Source organism: Homo sapiens, chromosome 7 (genome assembly GCF_000001405.40).
Source record: "Homo sapiens chromosome 7, GRCh38.p14 Primary Assembly".
Lineage (NCBI taxonomy): Eukaryota > Metazoa > Chordata > Mammalia > Primates > Hominidae > Homo > Homo sapiens.
This window is the reverse complement of record NC_000007.14, coordinates 40,456,777-40,472,837: the sequence shown is the minus strand read 5'-3', so window position 1 is coordinate 40,472,837 and position 16,061 is coordinate 40,456,777. Positions and strand designations below refer to the sequence as shown.

Sequence of the window (16,061 nt, the reverse complement as noted above, 5' to 3'; positions counted from 1 at the left end):
ACATGAATTAATAACAGAAGGCATTTCCATAAATCAATAACAGAAGGCACTTCTTACCTATATTTTGACCTCCATGTTCTGTGCCATTATGGGCTCTCAACGACAAAAGGCTACAAATAAAACTGCTGATAGTGCTCATCAGCTATGTCAGATCCCTGAAGTTTTTATTATTATTATTATTATTATTGGCATTATGTGGTTTGCTCTCTTAAAAATGGATGTATATTCCAAAGCTATTTGTTAGCTTCATCAATTCATTGATTACTGAGATGTTCACATTAAAAAACGTGGAAAACAGTGGGAAATATAAAGATGTGAAACAATTACCTATAATTCTATGGAGAGACAACCACGGTTAATATTAGCTTTACTTCCTTCTTTGGTGCTATTCCTTTATGCCGTTGCTAGCATAGTTTATAATTATGCCTTTAAATTAGTCTGATGTAATAAGCATTTCCCATGCAGTAAAAAAGATCTGTGGCAAATTTAATTTTTAGTGAATACAGAATATTCCAAAGTAAGCTTTTATTTGTTTCTCTAATGCCAGATGTGTATGTGCTTTGCACTATTTCATGATTGTGAACAACTCTGCAATTGTGTACTTATCATTGTCTTTATCTTGATTCCTCTAAAGACATTTACGTAGGACTCCAAGAATGAATATTTCAAAATAGAATTATCGAGTCACTAAGAATGACACTTTAAGGCTCTATATGCCTATTGAACAATTGCTTTTTGCACAGCAGGGAATGAACCTGTATGTCTTACTATGTCTTACGCAACACTAATTATTATTCATTTTTATAAGCATGTGAATGATTAAAAAGAGAAAAACATGTTTCAGCCATTTTATTTGGTTATATTTAATTTCTAGTAAGACAATACTTTTCATACATGAATTTGACCTTACGTTTTCAGTTTTTGTGAAGTATTTCAAGTTAATACATTGAGGTTGTTATAATTTTTTACTGACCTATTTTAATAGTCTCTTTGTAAAATAACTACTATTATCTGCAGTTATTCTTGGAAATATATTTCCCACCTTATATTTTCAATTTATTTATGTTGCTTTAACATTAGAATTGTTCTACCATATAGCAGGGATTGTTATCTCCAGTACTTAAAAAACAATTTCATGTATACTTGAAGATAAACTTTAGAATTTGTTAAATTCTGAAGATAATCCTCTTGAAATGGTGTTTTGAATTTTGTGAAAGTTAATATGAGAAAATTTTACATCTTCACTATAATATTTAGTCTTCCTAGCCAAGAAAGTTGTATAGGTTTTTTGTATGTAAGCCCCATACACATCTTGTTACTGTTATCCCTAGATATGTTGTATTTCATTGCTGCTGTTAACCATGCATATAATCTCTTCTTCATTACATTTTGAATTATATAGGCAAGTACATTGATTTCATATTTGGTCAGATGCTTAACTCTATAACTTATATACAGTTTAAAATTTTTATTTTAAATATTATTATTTTAATTTTATATTTAGTATTTTAGTACTTTTTTTAGTCTAAGAAATGTAACCATTTAAGTAAACAACCTGTGCTTGTTAGTGTGCATTCAGAGACCCATTTTATCCTCTATTTTAGATAACAGAATGTTAAATTATATACAATTATGTTTTTCACAATTTCTCTCACTTTCTCATAATTCCAAATTTCTGTGTTTTAGAATATATTTGTATATTTTGATGTGTTTAAAAAGTAAGTTGAAACCAACAATTACTCCTATTTTTCAAATACATTATCTATCAATGGCCACCAAAAAGGGCCAATCCTGGAGCCACAAAGATCCAGGCCAGCATTTTGATGTTCCTTTTTTGTTTCCGTTCATTAAATTGAACAGAGTACTGAGACTTAAATAAACTCAGACATTCCAATGTCTGGATTTTTTCTCTTTCCAAAGTTAGCAAATGAGAAAAGAAAAACAATTCACAATAGAGGAAAGAAAAATCATTTAAAAAGGAAAATGTAAATTTATAAATTTAGAGATTTAAGTTGTGTACATATGATTCTGTGTATGTGTGACAGAGAGAGAAAGACAGAGAGAGAGAGAGAGAGAGAGAGAGAGAGAGACTGTTCACTTAGTTTCTTTTCCTAGCCAGGAATATTGTAAACATAAAATGTGTAGTTAGAGAAAAGGAGAATAAGCAATTATTCCGTGAGTGCTATGGAAAAGACATTGATAATCAGAAGATAGCAATCTGAGCCTCATCAATGAGCTGTGTGAACTGGGGAAAACATGACAAACTAGAACTAAGGTAGGTACCGTCAGCCAATGGAAGCAGTGAGCAACATGCCAAAACTACTGCAGATTGTCCAGGTGAGGATGGCCAGAAGCAGCTGGTCAACAGGGAATGATCCAGAACGCTAAACAGCTGGTGGAAATCGGGACTCAGCAGGGATGTCATCTGTCAGCACTGGGAGAGAGGTGGTGTCGGCCCTTACTAGAAACATCAGTTGATGCAAGATCAAAGACTCAAGCAAAGTCCATGCTGGAGAGCCAAAGCTAAGAGGAGATAAGAATAGAACCCAAGTGGGCAAAGTACAGAGCAGAACTCAGTCTGACCCAAAGGCAAGCAGGAAATTGGGCAGGACAGGGATGAGTCAGGGAGTCCGAGGAGCAAACCAGATTTGACTGAGTCAAACTCCAGATTCTCCATCCATTTCCAAAGTCAAGAGCGAAATAAGGTCAGCCAGAAAAGTCTGGAGAGCTGTACCTTCCCCCTCCCAAAAAAGAAGGCCTTTAGCATTGACTTGTGGAGTCTTCCACCACGTTTCAAGGGATCTTTGGCCCGTGATACTATTAATTCTAAGTTCTCACATTTAGGAAGGGGTTAAATTTGATGATATCCAAACTTCTATCCAGCTCCCCAAGTGTTTAGGACTCTAACATTCTATAAATCTAAAAATACACATTAAGTTCCAAAGGAGAAACGAGGGTATTAAATGTTTTATCCAGGGAAATAGAGTTTACTGGACTCCCTCCCATCACCATCATCCCCTCCGTATACAAACATATAAATATCCCACAACCACCACCTAATTCTTCCTCCTAAAAGGTAGTGTGGAATGGTTTATAGCCCTCTTGGAAAAAAAAAACTGAGATGACATTCCATTCCATACTGACTCACTTTTAAGTCTTTAGACATCATTTGATTCTCAGTCACAAAGAATTCTCCTAACAGGGTGGAAAAAGCCCTGGTCACGAGGAGATTGCCTGGAGTTGCAGTGGTTCCCTTTGCATTCTCTAAGCCAAAGGGATGCTTTCCAGAGCTGTGTTTCTTTCTTTCTTTTACCCTCCGGGCTGATTTTATAGTAACAAAACACAGCCACTTAAATCTATCTCCAAATAACCAACATTCAGAAAATGTACCACATAAAATATAGACATTTTACAAGGGACCATCTATTAGCTGATAATGGCAGCACTGCCAAGGAATGCATAAGAAAACAAATGTGACCCTCACCAAACATCAGATCCATTTATCCAAATTAGCCCCTCTACAGTGAATGCCATGATATGATTCAAAGAATTATGAGGGGTTGGGAGGAGGTTACAATAAACTAAATATGTAGGTTGAGGATACATATAAAGCTTATGAAATGCAGCCTCATAAGACATTAATAGAAGTCAGAAAAAAAAGTTGGCAGAAGAGATTTTAAAATGTGATCATATGGAAAAAAGAATATTAAACCAACTCAAAAAGTTTCAGAGGGTGAAAACAATAAGTTTCTCTATGTATATTAAAAACATGTAGATATGGGAGAGTGGATGGTTGCCAGGTTGAGGGAAAGGTGGAATTCATCGGATTTAAAAGACACTTCCATAACCTCTCAGCCCTTGGCAAATGTGTCAGGAAGGGGATCTTCATCTCTGGGGCTCCTAACTGCTCTCAGCTTCTCATTTTGTCCCTCTTCACTTACCTTAGGCAGCCAGTGTTTGGAAGATTCCTCTGTTTTCTCCACATTAAAATCTAAACTGAGGCAAAGATCTGGGAAAATGTATTTACACTAAGGAATCAGAGTTCAAGCTTTAACCCTCCCTGCGCTGTTTGAAACTTAAGAGTATACAGACTTTTAACCCACCCCCACTCCCCCACAAAATCTTTAATGGTAAAACCTCTGAAATCAGCAAACTATGTGTAAGGAAGAATTATCTTTCATGGAATAAAGTTTCCTTCCATGCCTTCTAAACTGTATTACATAGGTAACCACTGATAAAAATCCTCCCTGTTCTCTAAGAAAACTTGTGCTCAATAAAGCCTTCATGCAAATAAGTGAAATCCAATTAAGACTGTACTACATAATACCCATTTATTGTTTAATTTTAAAACAGTTCAAAGTGTGAAAAGCAGAGTAGGGGCAGAAAGATGGGGTAGGCCAAAAAAGGAAGGAGGGAGGAATAAAATTGAGGATTTAGGAAAGGGGGAAAGGCCAAGGAAGGTGACACAGATGTTAGAAATTAAACATGAGAAAATAAAAAATAAGGAAATTACAGATATTACTTAACTGAAAAGTCAAACAGTTTTCAGGAAGGCTAGAGATACCAAATAAAACAGTGAAAAACGTACACATAAAAATGGCACAGGAGAAGTCATGGGTGTATTTTACTAAAGTGCTTAAAGATATGGGCTGAAGCTTTTCGTGGAGGCTATTAACACAGGGTAGCAATTAAGGAACACGCAAAAAGTGTTTCATTCTTTATGAAAGTACAGACACAAGTGCAAGAAATAACTCAAGTGGAGTGTTCACAAATTCCAAGTTCATTACCCACAACGCAGAACAAGTGTCTCTTGAAAGGGAATAGAATAGGGGCTATTAAGGTACTCTTTTAGTTAAAAAAAAAAAAAAAAAGAAAATGAGTACTATTAATAGTCTTAATTAGGAAATTAGTACAAAGTAAAATGTATTCCTAAGTCCTATGAGCTATTTTTATTTTTTCAAAAAGTTGAACAAATTATTTATCCACCTACAAAAAGGCCATGCAGGCTAATGAAAATGTCATGCTTTGCTTTTGGTAGAAGTAAATTACTACTATAATACTAGTTACGTCATCCTTATTAGGATGTCTGATTGGCAGTTAAAAATAACTTTGTAAACACAAATTGTGAAAGTTGAGTCTTATAAGAATTACAGTTTGGCAGAAAAAAAAATCTTGGAAATGAGGTTCATGAATTTAAAACTAATATAGAAATTGCTAAAGCAAACAATTGGGGAAGTAAAGTTTATGATTTTCCAGGATTAAGATCTTCCTCAGATAGGTCTCAAAAATAGAAAGAATGAATAAGACCTAGTATTTGCTAGCACAACAGAGTAGCTACAGTAAAATATAATTTCACTGTACATTTTTAAATAACTAAAAGAGTATAACTAGATTGTTGAGACACAAAGGATAAATGTGTGGGCTGATGGATACCCCCATTATAATGATGTGATTATTACACATTGCATGCCTGTATCAAAATATCTCATGCTACCCATAAATTTATAGACGTACACTAGGTACTCCAAAAATTAAAACTTTTTTAAAAAAGATTTTCCTCAAATAGGCTGAGTACTGCTGCATGCTCAAACTGTGCTGGCTGTTTTCATGCTTTTTTTTTTTTTTTTTTTTTTCTTTTTCTTAGAGTCTTGCTCTGTCGCTAGGCTGGAGTGCAGTGGCACGATCTTGGCTCACTGCAACCTCCGCCTCCCAGGTTCAAGCAATTCCCCTGCCTCAGTCTCCCAAGTTGTTGGGACTACAGGCGTGCACCACCATGCCCAGCTAGTTTTTTGTATTTTAGTAGAGGTGGGGTTTCACCATGTTAGCCAGCATGGTCTCGATCTCCTGACCTCATGATCCACCTGCCTCAGTCTCCCAAAGTGCTGGGATTACAGGCGTAAGCCACCGTGCCCGGCCCGTCTGTTCTGGTTTTTAATCCTCTTTGTGATGTAGGTATTTTTACACGTATGATATATGAGAACCTGAAGCTCAAGGCTGATCACTGAAAGACTAGGATCTCAAATTCAGATCTTCTTATATTGTATGACCACGATACAGGTTCTCTAGTTCATTCAAAGTCCTCACTTCCAGCTACCACTGCTCTTTTCTGTTTTGTAGAACCTGACATCGTGGATCCTTGCTTTTTCCCTTTGGTCAGTTCTGCCACACTTGGATACCTTGCCCATCATTGCTTCACATGTTCACTGACTGAGAGAACATTTACTGAGTGCCAAATAGGTGCTAGAAATAAAAATCCAAAGGATATATTCTCTGCCATAAGAAATTCACTGTCTTGTCAAGGAGGAAGAGAAGTAAATGACTGATGAAAGTTGAGTGGGGTAGATGCTGTGATGCAGCGGCACAGGAGGGGCCCCTTGGAACAGACTAGCGAGGCCAGAAAAGCTCCTAAAACTTGTGCTTATTTTAAAGGACTGATAGCAGGTAGTGAGATTAAGAAGCTCCATCATTTGAGTGTCAAGTAATGAGTATATGGGGAAACATGGAGGACTGAAAGATTAGGCCACATTAAAAGTAGTAGCACTGGGTTCTGTGTGACCCAGGCAAGGCTGACAAGGTGGGAGGTGCATGTGTTCAGGTAAAATGGTTTGAACTTTATCCTTCAAGCTATAGAAGCCAGGCATAGTGACTCAGAGCTATAATCCCAGCATTTCGGGAGGTTGGAGCAGGAGGATTATCTGAGGCCAGGAGTTCAAGAACAGCCAAAGCAACATAGGGAAACCCCACTCCCCCACCCACCAACTATCTTTTTAAAAAAAATTATATTTTAAATTAAGCAGGCATGGTGGCTTGCATCTGTAGTTTTAGCTACTTGGGAGACTGAAGCAGGAGGATTACGTGAGCCTAGGAATTCAAGGCTAAAGTGAACCATGATCACACTACCGCACGCTAGCCTGGGTGACAGAGTGAGACCTTGTCTCAAAAAAAATATATTTATTTATTTTTTTTGAAAGGTGAAGAGAGCCCCAGAAAGACCTAGCCAGGGCAGTGAAATGGTCATAGTGGCTTAATAGTGCCAAGATGTCAGTTTTTTACATTGACATTCAGTATAGGGACCTTTGAAGTTACAATTGCTCCATCAAGAGCCAAGAAATGTTCCAGGTCCAATTCTCCAGTATTTTGTATAAATCTATTCAAAATAATTTGATATCAAATTTTAAAAATGATCAACTTAGAGGAATGTAACTAATAAACTTTTTTTTTTCTTTTTGAGACAGAGTCTTGCTCTGTCACCTAGGCTGGAGTGTGGTGGCATGATCTCGGCTCACTGCAACCTCCGCCTCCCGGGTTCAAGCAATTCTCCTTCCTCGGCTTCTCGAGTAGCTGGGATTACAGGCGTGTGCCACCACACCCAGCTAATTTTTGTATTTTTAGTAGAGACAGGGTTTCACCATGTTGGCCAGGCTGGTCTCGAACTCCTGACCTCAGGTGATCTGCCTGCCTCAGCCTCCCAGAGCGCTAGGATTACAGGCGTGAACCACTGTACCCAGCCAGCCACCGCACCCAGCCTAAATGCTTGATTCATTTCAACAAATACTTGTTTGGCACCTCTGTTAAAAGGCCCTGATATAGGACATTTAACTCCACAATGCAGTAAACTCTGAAAATAAGTAAATAGACAATTAAAAATCAAAAACTTAATTTAAGAAATAACCAAATCATTCCAAACCAAAACTATTTATTTTACTAAAGGAATTGCCACAGTATTTTAAAAGGCGAACTTATCTAATGCTGTTAGTTTTATTTATGATGACATAACGTAAACAACTTTTTACAAATGCCTTCACTAGGACTACATTGACATATACTTGCTTTACATATGTAACATTTTTCCAAAAGCAGCTTGAAAATTGTCAACTGCATCTCTCCAAACTATAGATAATCCTTAACTTATGAAGGTATTATGTCCCAATAAAACTATCATTAAATTGTAAACATCATAAGTCAACAATGCATTTAATATACCTAACCTACCAAACTGACTGAGAGCTGCAGCTCACTACTGCTGCACAACATCGCAACAGAGTATTTTGCTGCATATATGGCTACCCTGGAAAAAGATCCAAATTCACAGGATGGTTTCTTTCCCAAAGTAGCTGGGACTACAGGCACATGCCAGCAGGGCCAGTTAAATTTTTAATTTTAATTTTTGTAGCAACATAGGGTCTTGCTATGTTGTCCAGGCTCACAGTACAGTTTCTAATGAATGTGTACCACTTTACCACATGGTAAATTTAAAAAATTGTAAGTTGGGGACCATCTGTACTTTTTTTCTGCTGTCATGATTTTATTTTCATGCTACAAAAGTACATTCACATCAATATTTCCTTCTTTGAACTTTTTTCTTTACCTGCCTAATTCTGTTTGTCCCTCAAGATTTATCTTAGATGGCACCATCTCCAGGAAGCCTTCCCTGATTTCCCAGATTAAAGGAGTTGCTCCTTCTCTGGGCTCCCCAATCCACTGTGCATATGATTACCCAGGTAATTCCCACACTCTACTTAAATCAATGCTTTCTGTGTTTATTTTCCTAATTAGACCATGAGCTCCTTAAAAGCCCAGGCTTCATCTTTCAGCTCTGTATCTGCAGGACAATGGTACACAGTCAATGGCCAATAAATGTTGGTGAAGAGAGGAAGAGAGAGAGAATAAAATAAATTTTATGTCTATTTTCTCCATCAATTCTCTTCTCCTTCATCCTCATTTCATGTTTTCCTATTATTTCTCCCCAAACACTAATACATCATCTTTATCCCTCTCTTCCTAGTTTCAATTCACAACTTGCAATATCTCTCTTGGGGTCCTAACTATTGCAAAAATGCTGATCTGGTGTGTGAGTAGCACAGGTTTAAGAGTTTGTTGCTCCTTAGCATTGCAAAGAAGGGGATTGTTTTATCTGGCGCTGGATTAGTCTCCATTATATCTCCTCTTCTGTTTTAGCTAGGGATTTTTAACATGATTGAGTTTTACCTAGTTTTCAATGTTAGCAGCTGGGTAAACATACTTTCTGCAACACCCTGGATAAAATGGCAAACTCCAGGGGAAAGTCTTCTACCTTTAGATTAATAAAAAAGACTTGCTCACAGCCCTGGTTGGGGAATAGTAACACTTGAGAGCATTTGAGGGGAATCGTGTGTGCTGGCTGTGGAAAACGCAGCTGATGACCAAAACAGGCAGCTGCCGTCCTGAGTGAGGCTGATCGCCCTCAGAGAGTAGCTTCAAACTGTACTTAGCAAGAATAACAGAGAACTGAGGTAAGTGACTGACAACTCTGGTAGGTACTTCCAAAAAAGCCTGGACTTTTCATAGGAGAATCACCTGATTCTAAAAAATATAAATGAAGGCTTACAAGGGACAGGGAGGGGAGTACTCAAAAATTGCTCAAGGAAAATACTTTGGAAGGAAGATTTTGAAACACAATAGGAAATTCACGTGTATATTTACAAGAGCCAACTTTGTAAAAATCCATAAATGCTTCTGTTTTCACTGTCTTCGAATTGGGTGTAAAGGATGAGAAAACTTTTTAAAATAAACACAGTGAGTTCATCATTCCTAGAGTTTGTTTTTAAAGTTATCTGCTGTGCAAATTCACTCTCATGAATCCCTCCACATTTTCACGTTTTAAAGATTTTCTAAAATAAAAATATCAGGCAAGGAAAGTGTCTATAAGTATTAAAGGAAAGTGCCTGCGATGTAAGGTTTAACAGAAGACAACAGGCAAAAACACGATAGACTCACATGGTAAAGTCGATTATTTGTGAGTGGCTACTGTTACTAAAAATATGTTTTTACTATGGAAATGGCTGGCAAACCACATTTTAAAAACTGGAGCATGTATATCAACATGTTGAAAAAGTACAATAAATGAGTAACAGGTACAGCCTATAACTGTAATAGTTTTGCAAGAGAAAAAATTTTTTAAGTGGTTATTATGAAAAATATGGAAAACTAACTTCTTAGGCTCACCGAAACAAATGTGTTAAGTAATAGTTCAAAAACAACCACTACCAAAAAGAAGTATGTCTTCTAGAAAGTCTGCAATGGTTACCAAATGAAAATTCAGGAGGGCAGGAATTCTTGACTGTATTTTACTGCTATATCCCTAGTGCTCAGAACAGTTCATGGCACATAGTAGGTGTTCAACAAATGCTTGTTGAATATGTGAGAGACTGAATAAATGGAGAAGCATAGACCACTTCAACCTGGCCCTCTGGTCTTCCTAGGTGAGAAACGGGGTCTTCCTGACTCCACGTTGCTGAAATGCTTTGACCTCTTCTCTACTAGGTAGAGCACTCCCTCCCTTGACGCTCTCTCTTCAAGTTAGAAAAAAGTTGCAATAAGCAAATCCATTTTATGGCCAGAAAAAAAAATCCTTTATTTCACAAGTTTAAGAAACTACTTTGTCATAAAGGCTTTCATGAGTTCACGACTTGATCTGCCTGCCATGGGCTCCCACTCTCTCTGAACCAACCTGACACCCCTCTTCTCTTGCTCCCTCAGATCCAAGCACACTGTCCTCTGACTTACTCCATAAACTCTGCCTGGAATTCATCTCCCAGATGCCTGCCAGCCTCCCTCAGACATTTTCTCTCATTTCTTGCAAGCTTCTGATCAAATGTCACTTTCACAGAGAAGCCCTCTGTGACCAGACTAAATGAAAAACCCAGCTTCACACTTAACTTCTGGCATTCTTCCTTGTCCTGGCCTGTATTATTTTTCATGGATACACTTTGTCTGTTTCGTTCACTTCTCTATCCCCAACTTGCAACAGTGCCTACTACACAGTTAGTGCTCAATAAATATTTCTTGAGCGCATAAACAAACAAGGACACAGTCATATTTCATGTGCCACTTCAGGGAGGCAATATGAGAGATGAAAAAGGTGTAGCCTTTTGAATCCCATTTCTAACTATTCACTATGTGCCTGACCTGGAGACCACCTCCCTAAATGTCAGAATTTTCATATCAAGTGGGAATAATAACACTTATCTGGCATGTACTTGGCAGCCACCAAAGGCTGGTTCCACTCCTTCCTTTCTCCCTGGCTCCTTTTTTGTGGCTATGAGCTAATGTAACACTTTTGTTAGGAAATAAAATGCCTGCAAGTTCTGAGGTGGCTGTGTAATGCATGTGCTGAGCAAGACGAGAATGTTGAGAAGGCCCTAGAGCAGTATCATTCATAATGACAACTAACGTTGATTGTACTTCTGTTTGGCAATGGCAACGGACAAGGCATGAAAAGGACAATGTTCTTTCCTAAAGGTGCCAACATCTTACTGGGAACAGAGGCTTCTAGAACTGGCCTTGAAGCATGACTAAGTTTCAGAATAGTGGTAATTCTGAGAAGCATTTCAGAGAGGAAACTAAACCAATTGGGAGGGTGACTATAGCAGGGCCGTCCTTTGGAAACATGTAAGAAGAAGAGTGGACAGGAAAGGTGATGTCAGATTATGGAAGACACCGCATGCCAGGCTGGAGGCTACGTCTAATCATGTAACTTATGAAGCACCACTAATATTTTTGAATACTGGAAAAACACACATCATATAATGAAAATGAGAAATTTTAAGAGACTTCTCAAAGCCAAGCACTAAGCAGTACTAATGATTCCAGTGATATTTGTTCAGAAAAATAAATGATAAGCTTATAAACTGGAATGAATCAATATTCTAATTCTAATCTTCCCAGGTCATCACTATTTGAACTACCGTGGAGGAAGAGAGACGTGCTAGAAGAGACTTGGAGAACTGCAACTCATAAGAAGGTACCAAAAAATGTCAGCGCACTAGCAGAAGAGAGCACAAAAGCTAGCCTGCAAGCAGCCAAGGGCTCTATCTGTGGTCTGTGTTTTAACGGCAGTACCAATGATGATGTGACCTCCTTATGAAATTTCCTCTCCTAGGACTACCCACGCCTGCCCCGTCTCTTCCTTGCAGGTCGATTCCTTACTTATTGTTAAGTCTGAATAAAAATATAACAAACTTATAGATACCAAAATGCTGAAACTTCTACTTCTGTGTATAAAAGAACAGAAAGAAGAAGGTTGCAGATTATATAATTCACCCCAAAGAGGGAAAATGGCAATGAGTATGTTACAGATGCTACTAAAAGTCATCCCACAGTTGAACTCTATAACATAATTTAGCAAGGAATAAAAGTTTTAAAACACAGGAAACCAATCTAGGTATCATATTTTTCTTGGGATCTGTTCTTCTCGCAGTATGGTCATGATTTATTCAGTTTATCAAAGAGCTTCTGATAAGGTTCTCACAAGTGGCTATTATTGAAACTTGGTAACCATCGTGTGAAAGGAAAAAGCTTTATCAATTAATTATATGAATTACAAATGCTTGAGAGGCAGAGAGGCAAAAAGAAGAAATAAATGGGCACTTCTCATGTGGAGAAAAGTTAATCATTGAGGGCTCTGGGGCTTCGCGGTAGAATCAGAGTTATATTTAACTAGGGACCAGAAAAGGGCACCCAGTTCTCCATCCCCCATTCTGTGTCTATCAGTCCCACAACACACAGTCCCTATTGATATGAATAGCATTTGGCACATGGAAAAGATACAGGCAGTGTTTAAAATTATAAAATGTTTAAAGTTACAAAAGTATTTCAAATCCAGGAAAAATAGATAGATGAATGTTGATTCAGATATTCCTGCAGACATCCCCAAATACAAAGACAACAAAAATAAAAACAGCGGAATTTTAGTTCTTATAACTTTGATGTATACTACATAGAAACACTTGAGCCTTTTCAAAAGGCTAAATATGGTATTTAAACAAAATTACCTAATTTATTGGCATGATGAGAGCAAATTTTCAATATAAAAGAAAAGTTCATGTGGGCATTTAGATCCACAAAAGCCACAAAGCCCATTTGTACAGATTCAGAAGACATGTAAAGGCAAACAAAAAGTGAAACTGACATGAAACAGTAAGAATAATTATTTTCTTCAGACAAACTTGAAAAATTGGTACAGGTATTACAAAAAAATAACCTGACATTAATGGAAAAAAATGGAAATAAAATATTCTACTTAATTAACATTAATATTTTATGACCCATAACTCAATGTGGCATCTGCAATGATCCAGAAATAACATCAAGATTCACAGGAGTGGCTCAGAAATGCAAACCAACTCTTGATTTCACCTCTCTTTACCTTGCTTTCCTTACATGTAAAATGGAAATAACAGAACTTACCTCACAGGATAATTATGAGGATTAAACGAGACAATGTATCTAAAGCATTTAACAAAGTGAAAGTATGAAATAATGTTAAATTATTATTGTTGTTGTTGTTGTATTTATGATAAACTAAACCCAAACAGGTACAGGACACAGAGAAACAACCAAATTCAAGTCATGGTGACTTTCTTATTTATATCATTGTTATGACTCAGTACTTAACAAAACATAAAATGTGTTCAAGTGCTTCTAAACAAACAAACAAAAAAACCCCACAGCTTTAAAATCTCTCCACCAGCCAGTTTTGTAAAATGGAAGAGAATTACAAATTGATCTCAAATAAGCCAAGAAAAAAACATATAAAACACCAGATAAATGCTTATCACATATTAATTCTTAAATGGATGAATACAACATCCAAACTTACCGTTCAGATAATATTTTAATAAGCTCTTTTCTATTGTGTACCCGAAGGTGGTTAGTTTTATACTTGGAATTATCAATCAACTCAGGCAAATCCAAGATCTAAAAGAAAAAAATAATTTTCCAGTATAAGAAATAGGTAGTTCTTGTACCTGCCTGTGGGTGCTAGTGTTCAGGTCCTATCTCTCCCTTCTCAAGAACATTCCTTGCTGGTCTTTATGCCCCTCAACAAGGACATATGGAGGGAACAAGCACACGATTAGGATGGAACATGCTGGTGAAAGGGTTTGTCATTCATAAGAGGCTTTTACTACATTTAAGCAAATATTCTTACATATAGGAGACCAGCAAAAGATGCCCATAAGTCTTATACCAAATATGAGAATATAGGAAACATGTTAGCAGATCCCCACAGAAAAAAATCTTGTTTAGAGGAAATAGGGAGAGAGATGCTAAACTGGGTAAAACGGACCAAATTTTAAAAACCAATATCCTAAGTGCATATCTACATGTATCTTGTATACAGTCAACATGTACCTTGTAGATATATTCACTTATTTATACCATATGTAAATAAAATACTGTGATCTTCCCAGGTTGTCCTATGCAGAATGTTCTAAAAGCTGCTAAAATAAAGTAAAAGCAAATACATTTACCCAAATTCTCACCATTTAAACAATAGCAAATTAAAAGATCTTCTTCCTATAGAAGTATCACTATTTTTTATGAATATATCTCCCTGAAGTAATACCAACTAGAAATGCTTTTATAGATTTCCTCTTTTGCTCCTCCTCAATAAGGGGAAAATCTATCTTGCAAGTCCCTTTGGACAACATTCAACGTTAACAAGACCATAATGAAAGTACCAAGTGGATTTGGAATGGAAAAGTTTTACAAAGACTGTGTAGAGGCAGTGCTTGGCAGTTGTATTGGAAAGTCACAAGGAGTATTTACAGCCTGGGGGCAGGCCATGCGGCCTACAGAAAGCTTCATTGCCTTTATTAATATATTTACTTTCAATATAAATATTTAATGGTTTCATTTATTTGCCACAGTTTAAATAAAATCTATCTATTAATCATCTTACAAAGGACAGAGAAGTGAAGAAGATTCCCTTGAGTAAAGAGACCATCTCAGTGGTGTAATTTTTCTTTCACATGTTTCACTTATTTCCTTTAGGAATAATAAAGACTGCATTATTCTCCCGGATTTTAAAAACCAACACCACATACAGCACCCTTTCTAGAAACCTCCCTGTCACAACACCTGATCCAAGAATTGGCCTCAAGCCCTGTCTAGCAGTTAGACACCCTCCCTCCGTAAGAGTGAATAAGTCATTCCAAGAAAAAACCAAGCGTCTTCACTAAGTCACAGGTTAAATTTATAAACCTGGCCTCACCCAAAAAGCACCATCAGCAACAAAAAATTACACAGTGACCACACTTAAGGGTAACTGGAATGCCCATGTGTCCTCTGTATTTGACTTACTGGAACTCTTTTTTGTTTCAAAGATGGTGTGAAATCGTTGGCCAAAGTAATGATCCTTCCATCTTCAGCTATGCCAGCTAACATTCAAAATGTTTCGAGAGACAACTTCAATGACTGTGATCATAACTATTATTTTGGAGCTTAAATTAAAAAAGAGTGCTGCCTGGGATAAAATAAAACAATGTACATGAAAATGCTTGACATATTAAGCACTAAATAAATGTGAAATATTCCAACTAGGTACTGTTTCCCCCAAAAGATATTTTTTTTTTTGAGACAGTCTCACACTGCTGCGTAGGCTGGAGTGCAGGGGCACGATCTCAGCTCACTGCAACCTCCACCTCCCGGGTTCAAGGGATTCTCCTGCCTCAGCCTCCTGAGTAGCTGCGATTACAGGCATGCGCACCATCATGCCCGGCTAATTTTTCTGTATTTTTAGTAGAGATGAGGTTTTACCATGTTGGTCAGGCTTGTCTCGAACTCCTGACCTCAAATGATCTGCCCACTTCGGCCTCCCAAAGTGCTTGGATTACAGGCATGAGCCACAGAGTCTGGCCAGAAAAATTTAAAAAGCATATATTGGTACAAAAAAGAAAGGAGGGAGGGCTCTGCAAAAAAATGAAGAGACATTGGCAAAAACAAAAAAAAAAGAAAATAACAAAACACCATAAACTGAGTAGCAAACGAAAGGAGAAGAGAAAAAATAATGAAGACCCATGATAATAAAAACTGCAAGTGTTTTAACATGCCTATCATCTAATGTTCCCCTTAAAGCAAAAACCAAAATCCTTAAGATAGTCTGGAAGGTTCTACACAATATGGCGCTATTACCTCTCTAACATCACCTGTTACCATGCTCTCCTCCCTTGCTCATTGCTGCAGCCATTTCATCTTCTTGCTGGACCAGAAACATGTCTATTCCACTTCAGCCTCAGTAG

General features: G+C 37.2%; 1 protein-coding gene across 18 annotated transcripts in view; it reads right to left on the bottom strand.

Moving 5' to 3' along the window:
• SUGCT (succinyl-CoA:glutarate-CoA transferase) overlaps nucleotides 1–16,061 on the bottom strand; it is a 903,812-nt gene that overhangs the window by 565,979 nt on the left and 321,772 nt on the right. For all 18 annotated transcript variants that reach the window (XR_007060157.1, XR_007060158.1, XR_007060156.1 and 15 more), the window contains one exon: nucleotides 13,640–13,737. Coding sequence is in view for 15 of the 18 variants with exons in the window: in XM_047420840.1 (XP_047276796.1) it covers nucleotides 13,640–13,737 (98 nt within the window). In the remaining 3 variants the exon portion in view is untranslated. The remainder of the gene's footprint in view (nucleotides 1–13,639; nucleotides 13,738–16,061) is intronic.